The sequence below is a fragment of the Homo sapiens genome, chromosome 8 (assembly GCF_000001405.40).
Source record: "Homo sapiens chromosome 8, GRCh38.p14 Primary Assembly".
Classification (NCBI taxonomy): Eukaryota; Metazoa; Chordata; class Mammalia; order Primates; family Hominidae; genus Homo; species Homo sapiens.
The window spans coordinates 97957851-97976270 of NC_000008.11; the positions used below are offsets into that span (position 1 = coordinate 97957851).

General features: G+C 44.3%; 1 protein-coding gene across 4 annotated transcripts in view; it reads left to right on the forward strand.

Annotated features, from left to right (window-relative positions):
* Positions 1–18420, forward strand: part of MATN2 (matrilin 2) — a 167661-nt gene that overhangs the window by 88787 nt on the left and 60454 nt on the right. For all 4 annotated transcript variants that reach the window (NM_002380.5, NM_030583.4, XM_005250920.3 and 1 more), the window contains exon 5: positions 3558–3680. In NM_002380.5, the coding sequence (NP_002371.3) occupies positions 3558–3680 (123 nt within the window). The remainder of the gene's footprint in view (positions 1–3557; positions 3681–18420) is intronic.

An 18420-nucleotide genomic window follows, 5' to 3' on the forward strand; every position in this document is an offset into this window, starting at 1 on the left:
ATCCCACCCCCTGCCAGTCTGATTTAATTGTGGTGGGGAGTACCTTGGCATCAAGATTTTCAAAGGTCGCTGCTGCTTCTGTAGATGGGAGCTTGCAGTTACTCACAGACTCTTCTGCGGATATCCCAGTCTGTCCTGAAAGGAACAAGCATATCCTTGCCTTTCTCTACCTACCCTGTGCAGGGAAGCCTTTTAGAAAAAAAGATTGTTCCTTCAAGGTCCTGGTTCCTTGCTTTTGAAATGGTACTTTCAAAAGGGTTCTTTTGTAACAGGTTGATTTTTTTGTCTTCCTCCATTATTATAAAAGTTCCTGTTAGAAAATTTGAAATCAGACAATTATAAATAAAAGAATGAAAAATCACCTGTATTCACACCACTACTTGGTAACCATGGTAGGTAGGGTTCCTGCCAGACCCCTGATGGGGCAAGGCAGCATCTGCAGTAGAGATTGGGAGGACCCATGTGGAGAAGCTGCTGCCACCCTTCCAGAGCTGGTTCCAGCATGCTGGAGCGTCACCTCCCAGCCATCAGGACTTCATGCAGGGACACTGCCCACCCACTTAGGGAGCTTAGAGTCTAGTAAGAGAGACACAGTACATCCATCGCTCTATAAACACATACGTAGTTAACATTATGATTCATGCCAGGAGGGAAAAGTGCAGGGGTGGGCTGACAGCCGATGGGTGAGGCCAAAAGTGTAAAGAATGTTTAAAGGTCCTCATAGCAAGAGGTTAATTTTCTCATCACCATTCAGGCAACCCAAAGCTACTTCAGCCCGGAACTCAGAAACCTACTGCTGTTCCCAAGAAAGCAATGCTTTTCATTGAACTTTGCTAGAGGTGCTTAAATTTTCCCAGGCCTGAGAGGATCTGTGGTGCTGCCAGACTTATCCTTCCGAAGCACAACTTGGGTGAAATTGCTGGTCTCCCTTTTTAAAGTTTTTCCCTTGAGTGGTCCCCATTGCCCGCTGATTGGAGTTCAGCCTATGCAGCCTGTGTGCAGAGATCCCTCTGCCTCTGGTGTCAATGGTCTTTCCCATCCTCTCTTCTGCTACTTCCCCTGGAATTTCCAGAGCAGAATTCAGCTGCCACGCCTCTCCTGCTTCCCTCTTCTGTTTACTCACGCGTCCCAAGCCTGGAGTGCTGTTTCTCTTTCTCCATACCTGCCAGCCTTTCCCAGTCCTTGCTAGACTTGCAGTAATCTGTCCCAATTCTGAACTCCCATAGTTTTCTTGGCACTTCTCTTAGGGATTCTTATCATGTCCTACCTCGCATGTTAGTTATTTAGGTGGCATCTAACAACCACTCTGGCCTTTCTGTTCCTCAAATAGGATCAGTTTGTTCTTCAGGACCTTTGCATTCACTGTTCTTTTGGCCGAAAATACTCTTCCTAAAGGTTCATGTTATTAACTCCTAGTAGGATACAAGCTGCGTGACAGCAGAAACCCCTTGTCTGTTTTGTTCACCATGATATCCCCAATGCTTGGGACATAGTATGCGCTCAAACCGTATTTATTGACTAAATGAATGAATATCGTATGATTCAGACATTTCTTATATCTGGCCTAGCTCATTTAGGTTTTGTATTTCTTTGATTACTCACTACGATTTTTGTATTAGCTGAAGTTTTCTTCCGGTTATGGGTGTTTTCCTTACATCTGAATCCACTGAAAATCTACATTGGACTTTCTGGTTGGAGTTCTCAATTGGAAATGTGAGATATAAACTTACTGGTGAGAGGTAAAAGAATCTGTGTCTATAAGGCTTTTTTTTCCATCTACTTTATTGATTTGGGAGTGAAACTTCTTTTAGGAGTTTAAAACCAGAATTCTTATTTGTAGACTCTTAGACCTAAGCGTTTTTAAAATGTGATGATGTAAGTTTTAATGTTTAAAATTGTTTAATGCATTTAATAGAGATGTTGAATCAAATCAGCTTTTATCTTTTTAAAAATCAATTTGGATATTTTATATTTATGTAAAAGCATAATAAACTATGAAACTCAAAGATCTAGAAGATGATATGAAAATGTAGCCATTGGATTCAGGAATTAATCAAGCTTTCTAGGTAATTAAGTTTTTTTAAATCATACCTGTTGTAGTGATAGCTTTTTTTTGTTTGAGACAGTCTTGTTCTGTCGCCCAGGCTGGAGTGCAATGGTGTGATCTCGGCTCACTGCAACCTCCACCTCCCGGGTTCAAGCCATTCTCCTGCCTCAGCCTCCCATCTTCTGAGTAGCTGGGATTACAGGCGCGTGCCACCACGCCAAGCTAATTTTTGTATTTTTAGTAGAGACGGGGTTTCACCATGTTGGTCAGGCTGATCTCGAACTTCTGACCTCAGATGATCCTCCCGCCTTGGCCTCCCAAAGTGTTGGGATTACAGGTGTGAGCTACCACGCCCGGCCAGTGATAGCTTTTAACCAGAGAAAATTCTCTTTAATATATTCAACCCCTTTAATGCTCTCTGATTATCTCCAGTTTTAATGGCAAAATCAATGGTACAGCTAGCTGTTTCATGGTATCCAAGCTGTTCTCCTTGCTGGGAAATAGTGTTAGAGACTGAGTCAGTGATGGATGGAAGATGCCTTTAATCTTTTCATCCACCAACATATTCTTAGTTCTGTTGCAGTAGATGCATACTGCAATTCCATTCCTACGTTGCATGTGAATAAACAGGCAGAGCTTAGCACTTAGTGGACATGTAATAAATATTTGACCAAAATAAGACCACGAATAGACATGTATCTATTTCTCCCTGGCAATGTTTGTTACCTCTACCTAACCTCTTTTGGCTTCTCCATTTTCCTCGTTTGTTATTAGAATGAATACATAGAGCACAAAGAGGGTTTTCAAAGAGCTTTGTCTCATTCCTTCTTATACCAGCAACAGAGTGAGATTCTGTCTCAAAAAAATTATTTAATGTATTTCAAAGTAATTCCAACTTTGAAAAATGTGTTTTTTTTATGTTATTTATTTATTTTGAGACAGAGACTCGCTCTGTCGTCCAGGCTGGAGTGCAATGGCACGATCTTGGCTCACTGCAACCTCCGCCTCCTGAGTTCAAGCGATTCTCCTGCCTCGGCCTCCTGAGTAGCTGGGATTACAAGCACACACCACCACACTCAGCTAATTTTTATATTTTTAGTAGAGATGAGGTTTCACCATGTTGGCCAGGCTGGTCTCCAACTCCTGACCTCAAGTGATCCGCCCACCTCGGCCTCCCATAGTGCTGGAATTACAGGCGTGAGCCACCGCATGGCTGAAAAATGTGTTTTTATATACATGCAGAAACTCACCTGGAAAGAAAACTCACCAAAATGTTAACAGTGGTTGCCTCTGGGTAGTAGGATTACAGATGGGGGGATTACAGGTGAATTTTCTTTTATCTATTTTTTTATGTTTTCCAAATTTTCTACTATGATCACGTATCAAACCTTACAATGTTTTTAAAAGTTACTTTGGTGAGGGCTCTGGAGTTCCCTGTTGCCTCACCCTGGGCTGGGAGCATTCTCAGGTGTGCCTGACGTTGTGTTCTAACATCGTGACTTTGCCTCAGTCCAGGATCTGTGTGCCATGGAGGACCACAACTGTGAGCAGCTCTGTGTGAATGTGCCGGGCTCCTTCGTCTGCCAGTGCTACAGTGGCTACGCCCTGGCTGAGGATGGGAAGAGGTGTGTGGGTGAGTATCCCTCCAGCTGGGCTTGGTAGGGAAGGACAAGTTAAGCATGGTGAGGAGGAGGGGAGACTCACGTGTACCTCCCACATATTTGTTTCCTCACCTTTGGGTTTCCACAAAGTGCTCAGTTGTTTGGTGTAGTTGTTAGGCAGAATTTGAACTTTAAAGGCTTCATTTATGGCTGAGGTCAGCGTTTTCTTATTCTGGGTCTCCAGTAAAAGGAACACTTATGATAATCCATGCAAATATAACTGTGTGTTACTGCATCTCTTGAAAAGGATCGGGTGGATTTTCTTCAACTTTGGAGGATATGTTTGGAATGGCCTGACTTATATATAGCTCAGGTGTTATACATGAAATTTACTTGGGTGGGTTGCTGAGTGACACCTCAAAGACAACGGGCAGCCTTCCTCCCTAATGTCACCTATAGCTCAGTGACAGGCCAAAGTGACTGCCAGGTGAAAGAGCCCAGCCATATGGGCTCAGCGTAATTAGACGGCGTGGTCAGAGGAAACTAGCAGTAGCCTCAAACCCTCAAACACAAGCCCAGGTAATGAGGCTCAAGGGCAGTGCTTGATGCTGCAGACATCCCCCCTGTTTATCTACAAAGCCTTTGCAACTTAACATGGTCTCATTCCTCCTTATACCAACAAACAGTGCCTGGTGGATAGTAGGTGTTTCATAAACTGAACTGAATACTTATGAGGCAGAAAATCTAGAAGGAAAAGAACTTGACTGACATCAAAACTGGAATGTAAATTTTCTGCTAAATCCTGCATTTTGTCTTCCGTGTTCTATTGTTTTCAGGACCCTATTTTATTTTGCTTCGCACAAACAGGGTATGCTTATATTTTTGCACATAGAATTTGCATTTTCCAGCACACCTTAATTCTTAGCTAGGGATGTGGAAGGCAAAACAAAACAACAACAAAACAAAAGTTAGGTGGTAGCCTGCAATTGGCAGGTGAGTGATGAGAGTATCGTGGGTTTGTTTTTACACACTGATAGGAATGAAAGCAACCTCTGCCTCTGACTCTCATCAAAGGGCCACAAATGCAGCTGGTCTCCTGGGCCTTAGGGTTGTTTTTCTTCTTAATCTGCTGGTGGTGGCCATGATAGAGTGGCAGGGTTCCACACCCACTACCACTAGCAAAAAAGAAGCCAACATATATACCCATGGTTATTTTTGCTTCATTAATTTTTATTATGCAAGTAATACCCGTTCATAGAGAAACTTAAACAGATGAGAAAAATCACTATTAATAGGTTATTGTATTTTCTACCAGACTTTCTCCATATAAATATCTACTTTAAAACATTTTGTTGGACAGGTGCGATGGCTCACGTCTGTAATCCCAGCACTATGGGAGGCTGAGGCGGGCAGATCACTTGAGGTCAGGAGTTTGAGACCAACCTGGCCAATATGGCGAAACCCGGTCTCTACTAAAAATACAAAAATTAGCTGGGTCTGGTAGTGTGCCCCTGTATTTTCAGCTAGTTGGGAGGGTGAGGAAGAAGAATCACTTGACCCTGGGAGGCGGATTTTGCAGTGAGCTGAGATTGTGCCACTGCACTCCAGCCTGGGTGACAGAGCGAGACTCATCTCAAACAAACAAACAAATAAACAAAAAACATTTTGTAAAGATTTAACAAAATGAGGTCACACTGTCTATTTTGTTTTACAACCTGCTTTTTCCCCTCTACTATTTGTTAAATGGGTAGAAACTCTGAGTGCTGTTTGGTCAGGAGGAAATCAAGCCATTGTGAGTTAGGCTGGTGGAGGAGCTTCAGGAAACAGGATGAGGGTAATGGGTTGATTAGGACAAGGGGAGGGACAGTAGAACACAGGGCTTGCATTGGTCACAGGGAGTAGATGGGGCAGGAAGCCCACCTTGGCCCATGGGAAACTGGAGGCCACTGAAAAACCCATTTCTCTGAGTGTTTCCAAATAATTACCTGCTTGTCCGTGTGTAGTAGAGAACCTTTGTATCTCTGAGGATTTTGCTGTAACTTTTGGGATTTGACATTTATTGAAGAGCTACAAGCGTGGGAGGGTAGATGCTGTCATTGCCAGAGAGCTTTGGCGTGCTGTTTATCGGAGATGGGCGTTTCTCTGCGGCTGCTTGACTGCATATAAGAATGTCTGCATTTTCTCAGTGGGGATCCAATCCAAAGAGTGGGAAAATGGGAGAGACTGCATCCCATTGCAACCCAGGTCTCCTCCGTCAGATGATCCTAGCATCACCAGCCTTACCACCTTTTCCCCAATGCCCTTTACAGCGGTTCACTAAGCACTCGATCTGTTAGAGGCTGGGAGTGAGATGATTAAGCAGGCAGTACTTTTGTTGCCAGTAGCCTTTCTTAGGGACTCCAGACAAAATCCTACAAGGTTAGTTGCTGCTCAATAGGGCTATGGTGAGTACAACGCAAATGATAGAGAAAATATTGGCCACGGAAGGTCAGAGAGAGACATCCTAATGGCTAGGCTGGAAGATCTGAGTGTGGAAGGAAGGGTGGCAATTGGACAAATGTCCAAGGCAGGGGGAGAGATGAAGGGCAGTGACTGTGGAGGTGGCAATGCTCTTCAAGCATTAGGGCTAAGTCTGGCCTAGGAGTGGCAGGGCCAGCTCCTGGGAGCTGGTAGGTCAGAGAGAGACTGTTACAGTGAAAAGGCCAAACTGAAAGTTAACCAGGTGGCCTAACCTGAGGGCCAGAAGGCGCTTATCAAAGATGGAGACTCCAGGTACCAGACTTAGAGCAGGAAATTTAGAGGAGAGGCTGGTGAGAACTCTGGACATACTCCATTAGTAGCTGATCTGGGGTGCCCTGTGTGTAGATGGCCAGGGAACATTAAGAACAGAGTGATTATGCCTCCCAGTTAATACAGGACAATCCCAGTTTATGCCCTGTTGGCCCAATTCTTTTTTTTTTTTTTCTTTTTTTTGAGATTGAGTCTTGCTCTGTTGCCCAGGCCATGATCACAGCTTTGCAGCCTCGACCTCCTGGGCTCAAGCGATACTCCCACCTCAGCCTCCTGAGTAGCTGGGACCACGTGTGTGCACCACTGTGCCCAGCTAATTTATTTTTTGTAGAGACAGGGTCTCCATACATTGTCTAGGCTGGTCTCAATCTCCTGGGCTCAAGTGATCCTCCTGCCTTGGCCTCCCAAAGTGTTGGGATTACAGGTGTGAGCCACCTCGCCTGATGCCATTTCTTTTTATTTTTAGACAGGGTCTCACTCTGTCACCCAGACTGGAGTACAGTGGCGCGACCTCGGCTCACTGCAACCTCTGTCCCCCAGGCTCACATGATCCTCCCACCTCAGACTCCCAAGTTGCTGGGACCACAGGTGCATACCACACGTCTGGCTAATTTTTTGTATTTTTGGTAGAGATGGGGTCTTGCTATGTTGCCCAGGCAGGTATTGAACTCCTGAGCTCAAGTAGTCTACCTGCCTCGGCCTCCTAAAGTGCAGGGATTATAGACATGAGCCACTGCGCCCGACTGACCCCATTTCTTACCCAGCTGGCCTCATTTCTTGATGGCACATCTTTTCACTTTGAAAGGGGTTCCAGTTTGGATGATAAATTACATAATCACCCTAGTTAAGGCTGTCCAATTTGACTTAAACTGTTAAGTTCAGCAGAGAATTCCTGTATACATGAAGTAGGAGATGAAGTTGAAGACAGCAGAAGGAACTGGATTGTTCAGGGCTTTGAAAATCAGACGTAAAGCCTAGATTTTATCTCTGAAAAAGAGCCACCGAAGGGTTTATATTTGGGTGACAAATGCAAAGCTTCATTTTTAGGAAACTCAACCTCATGGGGAACTGCAGGGTGTATTCCAGGAGAAGGATGGCAAGAAGTGGGAAGACCAGATAGGAGATTGTAGCAGTTATCGGGTGAGAGAGGATAGGAACCAGCCAGGATTTGAGGTGCAACTGTAGGAAAGGAGAGGGAGACAGTAAGGAATGAAAGAAGGTGCTGTACATAAAGGGAACAAGGAGAAGTCAAAAGTGACTCTAGGCCAGGTACCGTGGCACATGTCTATAATCCTAGTACTTTGGGAGGCCAAAGTAGGAGGATTGCTTGAGCCCAGGTGTTCAAGACTAACCTGGGCAACATAGTGAGACCCCCATCTCTACCAAAAAATAAAAAAATTAGTTGGACATGGCTGGATGTGGTGGCTCATGCCTGTAATCCCAGCACTTTGGGAGGCTGAGGCAGGCAGATCACCTGAGGTCAGGAGTTTGTGACCAGCCTGGCCAACATGATGAAACTCCATCTCTACTAAAAAAAAATACAAAATTAGTCAGGCGTGGTGGCAGTCACCTGTAGTCCCAGCTACTCCAGAGGCTGAGGCAGGAGAATCGCTTGAACCTGGGAGGCAGAGGTTGCAGTGAGCCGAGATCGCACCATTGCACTCCAGCCTGGGCAACAAGAGCAAAACTCTGTCTCAAAAACAAAACAAAAATATTAGCCAAGCATGTTGGTGCACATGCTGGTGGTCACAGCTACTTGGGAGGCTGAGGTAGGAGGATTGCTTGAGCCCAGGAGATCATTCAAGGCTGCAGAAAGTCATGTTCACACCACTGTACTCCAGCCTGGGCGACACAGCAAGACCTTGTCTCAAAAAAAAAATAAATGAATAAAATTGAAAAAGACTCCATGATCTTGAGCTTCCATGGCTGTGAGAGTGATGGCAACAGTGATGGAAGAGTGATGGAATCGATTTTCAAAAAGATAAGGCCAAGCGTGGTGGCTCATGCCTGTAAACCTAGGACTTTGTGAGGCCAAGGTGGGAGGATTGCTTGAGACCAGGAGTTCTAGACAGGCCTGGGCAACAAAGCAAGACCCTATATCTACAAAAAAATTAAGAAATTAGCTGGGTATGGTGGTGCACACCTGAAGTCCCAGCTACTCCAGAGGCTGAGGTGGGAGGGGTGGGAGGATTGCTTGAGCCCAGGATGTTGAGACTATAGTGAGCCATGATAGTGCCGCTGCACTCTAGCCTGGGCAACAGAGTAAGACCTTGTCTCAAAAAAAAAAAAAAATGTTGGGGTGATAATTAGTAGTCATTGACAAGGTGAATTTTGAATTCAGGTTAGACACCACAAGGACACGTCAAGAGGAAGCAGAAAACTCGGCATTAACATGACAGAGAGAGTAGAATCAATGCTGTAGTCAGGAAGCAGCATAGTTTATTTCTTAACTTCCAGTTATTTTCTATTTTAAATATTTATGTGTCAGTTGGTTTGTTTTGAGGGCATCTAGACCTTTAAAACAGTGCTACCTGAGCTGAAATCCCAACTCTGCTACTTGCTAGGTGTGTTAGGCCATTTGCGTTGCTATAAAGGAATACCTGAGATTAGCTAAAAGAAAAGGTTTAATTGGCTCATGATTCTGCAGGCTGTATAGGAAGCATGACACCAGCATCTGCTTCTGGTGAGGGCCTCAGGAAACTTCCAATCATGGTAGAAGGTGAAGGCGGAGCAGGCATGTCACATGGTGAGAGCAGGAGCAAGAGGTAGGGGGAGGTGACACACTCTTTTCAGACCAACCAAATCTCACATGAACTAACTGAGCGAGAAATCACTTATCACCAAGATGATAACACTAAGCCATTAATGAGAGATCCACAGCTATGATCCAATACCTCCCACTAAGCCCCACCTCCAACATTGGGAATCACGTTTCAACATCAGATTTGGAGGCAATAAGCATCCAAACCATATTATTCCACTCCTGGCCCCCCATATTTCATGTCCTTCTCACATTTCAAAATACAATCGTGCCTTTGCAATAGTTCCCCAAAGTCTTAACTTGTTCCAGGCTTAACTCAAAAGTCTCAAACTCCAAAGTCTGAAGTGTCATCTGGAGATGAGTTCCTTCCACCTATGAGCCTGTGAGATTTAAAAAAAAAAAAAGAAAAAGTTTTTACTTCCAAGGTACAAGGTGTTATAGGCACTGGGTAAATATTCTCATTTCAAAAGGGAGAAATTGGCCAAAACAAAGGGCAATAGGACCATACAACTTTGAAACCCAGAAGGGCAGCCATTACATTTTAAAACTCCAAAACAATCTCCTTTGACTCCATGTCCTGCATCCAAGGCACACAGGTGCAAGGGGTGGGCCCCCAAGGCCTTGGTTGGCTCCGCCCCTGTGGTTGCAGGGTATAGCCCCCAAGGCTGCCCTCACAGGTTGTTGGGTGCCCATGGCTCTTGCATGCTAAGGTTGCAAACTGCCAGTGGCTCTACCATTCTCAGGTCTGGAGGGTGGTGGCCCCCTTCTCACAGCTCCACTAGGCAGTGCCCCAGTAGGGACTCTGTATGAGAGTTCCAACCCTACATTTCCCTTTGGCACTGACCTAGTAGAGTCTCTCTATGAGGCTTCACCCCTGCAGCAGGCTTCTGCCTGGACATCCAGGCTTTCCAAGACATACTCTGAAGTCTAGGGAGAAGCTGCCAAGCCTCTTTCATGCCTGCATTCTGTGTGCCTGCAGACTTAACACCACATCGTAGCCACTAAGGTTTATGGTGGCTTGTACTCTCTGGAGCAGCAGCCCAAGCTGTACCTGTGGCCCTGTGAGCCATGGCTGGAGCTGGAGCAGCCTGGATGTGAGGAGCAGTGTGCTGAGGCTACACAGGGCAGTAGTGCCCTGGACCTGGCCCCCCAAATCATTTTTTTCCCCTAGGCCTCTGGGCCTTTGATGGGGAGTGGGTGCTGCCTAGAAGATCTCTGAAATGCCTTTGAGGCCTTTTTCCCATGTCTTGGATATTTGCACTTGGCTCCCTTTTAGTTACACTAATCTCTCTAGCAAGTGGTTGCTCCACAGCCTGCTTGTATTCCTGTCCTGAAAATGCCTTTTCTTTCTCTGCCACATGGCTAGGCTGCAAATTTTCCAAACTCGTACATTCTGCTTCCCTTTTACATATAAGTTCCAACTTTATTTCTTTGCTCCAGTATCTGATCATAGGCTTGAATGCTTTGCTGTTTAGAAATTTTTTCCATCAGATAGCTACCTTAGGTCATCCCTCTTAAATTCAAACTTCCACAGATCCCTAGGGCATGAACACAACCCAGCTAAGATCTTTGCTAAGGCATAGAATTGGTGACCTTTACTCCAGTTCCCAATAAATTCTTCATTTCTATCTGAGATCTCATCAGCCTGGCCTTTACTGTCCATATCTATTAGCATTTTGGTCACAACCACTTAACAAGTCTCTAAGGGGTTCCAAACTTTCCCTCATCTTCCTGTCTTCTTCTAAGCCCTCCAAACTCATCTGACCTCTGCCCATTGCCCAGTTCCAAAGCTGCTTCCATACTTTCAAGTGTGTTAATAGCAACACCCCACTCTCAGTACCGGTTTTCTGTGTTAGGCTGCTTGCATTGCTCTAAAGGAGTACCTGAGACTGGGTAATTTATTTGAAAAAGAAAGAGTTTAATTGGCTCACAGTTCTGCAGGCTGTACAAGAAGCATGGCATTGGCCTCTGCTTCTGGTGAGGGCCTCAGAAAGTTTACAATCAAGGCAAAAGCCAAAGGGGGAGCAAGTATGTCACATGACAAGGACAAGAGTGAGAGTTGGGAGGTGGGGAGGTGCCACACTTTTAAACAACCAGGTCTCATGTGAACTAACTGAGCAAGAACTCACTCATCACCTAGGGGTGGTGCTAAGCCATTTATGGGGGATCTGTCCCTGTGATCCAATACTTCCCACCAGGGTCCACCTGTAACACGGGGGATCACATTTCAGTGTGAGATTTGGAGGGCACAAACATCCAGACCGTATCACTAAGCACATATCTTTAAGTCTAATTTCTGAGCTTATTTTCCTCACCCATAATGTAGAATAGTAATATATACATTGTAAGGTTTTATGGGATTAAATAAGATAGTGAGTGACATTCCCAATATACTCTAAGAACTTAGCATTATTATTACAACACCTACTATTATCGTAATTTCCTGTATATAGTGAAGTATGGAGTGAGAAGAGAGTGAAGGACTGAGCCTTGGATTGCAGTCACATGTAGGGAGCAGGAAGTAGGGGCAGGAAAAATATTCATGAAGAAGTAGCTTAAGGCTGGGGGAGAGAAAGAAGAATCATGGAACATGATAGGAAGATAATTTCTTGGCCAGGTCAATATTAATGTCATGCTTCAGCATGGCCAAAGGTAACAGGACTTAGAGAAAAAGCCATCAACTTGAGTCACAGATTCACCGCTGCAAACATTTCAGAACTCTGCCAGGGACTTTGCTAGGCTTGAGGAGCACAAAGGTGACCAGGAGGCCATTGAGAATGGCAAAGGGGGCATGGGTAAAGGGCAGATTTCAAGAGGCAGGGAGTGGGTGACAAGAAAGTGTGGGCAGCAGGTTCAAACTATTTATTTAAAGAAATTTGGTAGAAGTTAAGCATGTCCAGCTGATGCAGGGCAGGCAAGTCCCAAAGTGGAGCTTAGCCTACCTGGGTTCTTGGCTTTGCCCAGGGAAGAATTCAAGGGCAAGCCAGAGGTAGAAGAAAACAGCTTTATTGAAGAGGCAGTGTTATAGCTCCATGACTGCTCTTGCAGAGCAGGGCTACCCTGTAGGCAGAGAATAGCAGCTTAGGCAGTTTTGCAGTCATATTTATACCCACTTTCAATTGCAGGCACGTTAAGGGGAGGTTTATGCAGAAATTTCTAGGGAAGGGGTAGTAATCGTTGGGTCATTGCCCAATGATAGTAAGGGATGGTAACTCCCAGGTGTTGCCATAGCAACAGTAAATTGACATGGTATACTGATTGAAGTCTGATTGAAGGCTGCTTTCACCCCAGCCCTGTTTTAGCTAGTTCTCAATCAGGTCCGATGTCTCAGCCCCACCTCTGGAGTCAAGTCCTGCCTCCTACCTCACAGCTACTAGTGAATTTATGCAGTAGATTTTCAGTTTCAACACTTTCATAGCTACTGCTATGAAAAGCACTTCTTTTGTTACCAAAACATTAGGGGTTCAGTCTAGGTCCTGTTGCTTGTTGCACAGAAAGCCAATCACTGAGACAACAAGTATTACCAGGAAAGAAGGCTTCAGTCAGGTGCCATAGCCAAGAAGATGGGAGATCAGTCTCAAATCCATCTCCCTGACTGACTAAAATTAGGGATTTAGGCTGGATGTGGTGGCTTATGCATGTAATCCCAGCACTTTGAGAGGCCAAGGTGGGAGGATCACTTGAGACCAGGAGTTTGAGACCAGCCTAGACAACATAGTAAGACTCCTGTCTCTACAAAGAATAAAAAAAAATCAGCTGGGTGTGGTGGCCAACACCTGTAGTCCCAGCTACTCAGGAGGGAAGATTGCTTGAGTCTGGGAGGTTGAGGCTGCAGTGAGCCATGATTGCACTACTGCATTCCAGCCTGGGTGACAGAGTGAGACCCTGCCTCAGAATAAAATAAAATAAATAAAATAAAAATTAGGGGTTTATATAGCAGGGAATAAATGTAAACATATGGGGGAAAACAGGAATTAGGGAGGAGTATGGAAGAGGAGTTGGTCAACACGCAGCAGGTGGTTGGTTAGGCAGTCATAAATGGGGAGGGGTCTGGCATGTCATTGTGCAGATGCAGTGATCTGGTAAGTTTCAGCCCCTTGATACTGTCAGAGAGTCCTGACGGTTTGGTTCTTGAGAAGGGTTCTCAGATAAAACAAATGTAACTTTCTCAAGTTTCAAGACTGGAAAGGTAAATTTCTATGTTTATTCAAAATAAACCATAAACATCAGTTCTGTGGGACAATTGGGCCGGTTTCACTTTGATTCATCCCTGAATTATTACTGTGACCTGCATGAAAGTTCAGTTCTTAGTCATGGACTCAGCATTTTTTTATAGATTTCCACACATTTGAGTAAGTGGAACGTTCAATTCCAGCACCAGAGTTCCAACTCCCTGACAGCTCATTTCACCATTGAGAGTCCTGAATTTATTCCGTATTCAATGGTGGATTGCTGACTAAGAACCTCCTCTGCTTTAGTGGAGTCCCTGAATTTATAATTCATCAGCTGCCACTAAAGTCATGTTCATTGCCATCCAAAACTATTTTTCAAAGACCATTTATCTAGATTTCTGAACATGAATTTTCTGCTGTACTTACTCACCTGGTGTTTACAAACTGTCTTTTATTTTGGGGTAACTTTGGTCCTGTTTGCATCTTATCTACCCAGGCAGATTGTAAACCCTTGAGGGCAAAACCACTTGTACTTTTCATCTTTCACAGAGTGGACTTGAAATACATTTTCTTGAAGCACTGACTGAGGTTGATTGCAATCTCATGCATTCATGTTTTGTAAAAAATATTTCCCCCATTGACTGGTTTTTAAATTATAAAGTCATTTTTGCTTATTAAAAAAAAAAAAGTCAGGCCAGGCATGGTGGCTCAAGCCTGTAATCCCAGCACTTCGGGAGGCCAAGGCGGGCAGATCTCTTGAGCTCAGGAGTTCGAGACCAGCCTGGTCAACATGGTGAAAACCTGTCACTACAAAAATAACAAAAATTAGCTGGGGGTGGTAGCACACACCTGTAGTCCCAGCTATTCAGGAGGCTGAGGTGGGAGAATTGATTGAGCCCAAGGAGATATGTGCCACCACCCCCAGCTAATGGACCAACACCGTCTCTACCAAAAATATATAAAGAAATTAGCCAGGCATGGTGGCACGTGCATGTAGTCCCAGCTACTTGGGAGGCTGAGGTGGGAGGATGGCTTGAGTCTGGGAGGGCTGAGGTTGCAGTGAGCCGTGATCATGCCACTGCATTAGAGCCTGGGCGACAGAATGAGACCCTGTCTCAAAAAAAAAAAAAAAAAGAAAAGAAAAGAAAAGAAATTTTCTCTGGGTTTTAAATCCTGCATTTGGAATTCCAGTTATGCCTTGGAGAAGAGAGGTTTTGTGAGTCTGACTCTGTGTGTGTGTGTCTAATGTATGCTCAGCAAGTAAATTGGTTCTACCATTTCTCTAAATGACAAATTTGGTTTTTCTTACTTTGTTATCAGCAAACTTTAAACTCCAAATGCTCCTCTTTAAAATATACTATTTCTGCTAATGCCATTCCCTTGCAGACGGAGTCCTGCTGAGAAAACGTTAGAATTGGACCAGGTTATAAAACAGAAATCATTGATTTTAGGGTTTTATTACCTGCAGCAAGGTATCATTTATTCTTAGAGACAGTGGAGTGATTTCTCACATGTTGGGCAGAGAATGAATGTGGCAAGACTGACTTCTGACTCTGGGATCTTAGCACTTGTGATCTGGAGGGCTAAAGAGCTACAGCTGGAGAATTACTCTTTCCATTTGTAAACAAGAATGTAGACATTTTAGGCATAAATGACTGAGAACAGATTTTGTTGAAGTAGATGAGAACTTGGAACAATAGAGCCATCATTGAGTTATACAAGAGGTCACCTCCATACATCTGCCTCCCTAATCTTGACCTCTCTTTTTATGAGTACAATTTTGCAACCAAGAAAGTTATGCAAACAACCCAAACCACTTGGCAAATAACATTAGAGCTGAATGCCCTAGAACTCTCTTGGCCTTAAAAAACTGTTAGATTCACATGCCTGGCAGTGGGTTCTTCCATGTTTAACCACTGCACTGATGGCCTCATCTGCCGTCTCCAGAAGCCTAGCAGTGTGTCAGTGGGTGGATTTCAAATTGAGATGGGATTTGACACCTTGGAGTTTTACAGACTGGAGACTTGGGACCCAGGAATGCGTGAATCCTGCCTTGCCAATCACATCCTCCCCCTTAGTTCCCCAGAGAGCTGTGTACACAAAGAACAAAAACATTATGAGAGTCAAGATCCAGAGAAGCTCTCTTATCTCATGAATTGGGCCTGTGGTTAGCTGATAAATGGAAAACATCATTCAGAGAGGGGAATCCTAAAAAACTATATATGCAAACCCACCTTAGTCATTTTATTTTTATTTAAAACACATAAATGTATACTTAGTAAAAATCACTTTTATGCTTTTAAAAAATGCTAATTTTAAGTTGAAGAAAAAAGTATGATATTTACAAATCTTTTTTTTTTTTTTTTTTGAGATGGTATAATTCTGTTGCCCAGATTGGAGTGCAGTGGCATGATCTTGGTTCCCCGCAGCCTCAATCTCCCAAACTCAAGCAATCCTCCCACCTCAGCCTCCTGAGTAGCTTGGACCACAGGTGCATGCCACCATGCCCAGCTAATTTTTGTATTTTTTGTAGAGATGGGGTCTCGCTATGTATCCCAGGCTGGTCTCGAACCCCTGGGCTCAAGCAGTCTGCCTGCCTCGGCCTCCCAAAGTGCTGGGATTATATAAAAATCTTTTTTGCATAAACCATACCCATAATGTGTTGTCTATGATTTTTTAGTTTTGGTTTCTTTAAATTGGAACAAGGATTTCAAGACATCTGTAAAGCAGTCTAACAGCAGAACTCTTGTAAATTTTAATGGGAAATTTCCCAATGTTTTACATTTGTTTCATCCATGCCTGGTTCTATAGCAATTTTGGTTAGCAAATTGCTTTAATTTTTTCCAAAGCTTTCAACAAAATTTTTATTTTTAAAAACTCAGTTTCTTTTAGTGCTTATATTTTATTGGTTTTTATTTTATTTATTTATTTATTTTGAGACAGAATTTCGCTTGTTGCCCAGGCTGGAGTGCAGTGGCACAATCTCAGCTCACTGCAACCTCCACCTCCTGGGCTCAAGCAATCCTCCCACCTCAGCCTCCAGAGTAAATGCGACAACAGGTGCCCACCATCATACCTGGCTAATTTTTGTATTTTTAGTAGAGATGGGGTTTCACCATGTTGGCCAGGCTGGTCTTGAGCTCTTAGACTCAAGTGATCCACCCACCTTGGCCTCCCAAAGCGCTGGGATTACAGATGTGAGCCTTTTTGTTTTGTTTTGTTTTTTTGTTTTGTTTTGTTTTTGAGATGTAGTCTCACACTGTCGCCCAGGCTGGAATGCAGTGGCACGATCTTGGCTCACTGCAACCTCCACCTCCCAGATTCAAATGATTCTGCTGCTTCAGTCTCCTGAGTAACTGGGATTACAGGCGCCTGCCACCACGCCCAGCTACTTTTTATATTTTTAGTACAGATGGGGTTTCACCATGTTGGCCAGGCTGGTCTTGAACTCCTGACCTTGTGATCCACCTGCCTTGGCCTCCCAAAGTGCTGGGATTACAGGCTTGAGCCACCGCGTCCAGCCCCAGCCCAGTTTTTATAATATTTAAATTACTTACAATAACATGTACAAATGACACATACAGGTTTGGAAACAAAAGCAACCTTGACTCTAACAATGGCTCTTAAGTTTTAGCGTGCCTCAGAATCACCTGGAGGGCTTGCTCAAACACATATTCCTGGGTCCCACTCCCAGAACTTCTGATCAGTAGGTCTGGGATGGAGCCTGAGAATGGGCATTACTGACAAGTTCTCAAGCGATGGTTGATGCAGTTGGTTCACAGACCACACTTTGAGAACCAATGTTTATAAGAATACATCTCAGTCAATGGAAAAAGTACACAGGTGTCCTAGAGCCCATGTGTTCCACCAAGGCTGCTTTATCAGCATACAACCCAGCCAATGTGAGGCGTGTACAGGTGTTTTAAAACACAGGTGTTCTAACTGCCTTGAGTGTGTAGCATGCCCTGGGTTATCAGGATTCATATGGTCAGAGGGAATGAAAGCGTTGCTTGATCAGGAGTTGCTTAAGGAGTGATCAGTTAAAAGAGCATCTTAGTACAACTTTTTTCTTGAAACACCCGAGCCAATTTGGATACTCTATTCTATAACATTCTGGAAAAGGGGAAAGTTTGGAGTATGTGGCTTAGATTCAAAGCCTAAGCCAAGCCTTCAACACCTCTCTAAATTATTACATTAGTCTAAATTACGGGGCCAGCATAATTATGGGATATCCCTCTGAGAGACAGAAATGGCCGGGCTCAGATTATACCCCATGGTGTAAGAGAGGACATTCAAGAGAAAAGGTAGAGTGTGAGTTTCTGACTTTTAGGTATAGAGACCTGACCACTCATTGTTGCAGCACCATCAATGTCCTACAATTTGGAAGTCAGATCAGCAGCTCCTCTCTTTGTAGGGGATACTAAGAAGTGGGTGGCCATAGATAGGACTGGCTGACTGATGGCAGGCACCCATATCCAGGATTGGGAGATTTTCATCATGGTGAATCAAGCCCAGCATGAGGAAGTTGAAGCTGGGGATTGTTGACTGCTAACACGGGCCCAAGCAGGCTCTGGCATGGCCAACTCCTGTGACAAACAGACTGGACCGTGTGCCAGGGTTTAGCCTTCCTCGATCTCAGTGTTCCCAGTGTCACCATTGATTCTTTTGATGATCCCTTGGTTCTTGAGAAATGAGAAATGAACTATTAGAAGGATGTGGTGCTAGCTCAGTCTTTATGTTATGACTCAACTCTAGCAACCAGCTGATATCCAATGACGTTGAGATCCTGAGATGACATGAATGCCCTATCCCCAACATAATGGCTTGTGAATTAAACCTGCAAATACTAGGTTCTACTAGAACTCTTTAGGGAGCTGAAGTTACAAAAACAATATTTAGACTGAAACTTTTTTTTTTTTTTGAGACAGAGTCTTGCTCTGTTGCCTGGGCTGGAATGTAGTGGTGCAATCTCGGCTCCCGGGTTCAAGCAGTTCTCCCTGCCTCAGCCTTCCGAGTAGCTGGGATTACAGGCACCTGCCACCATGCCCA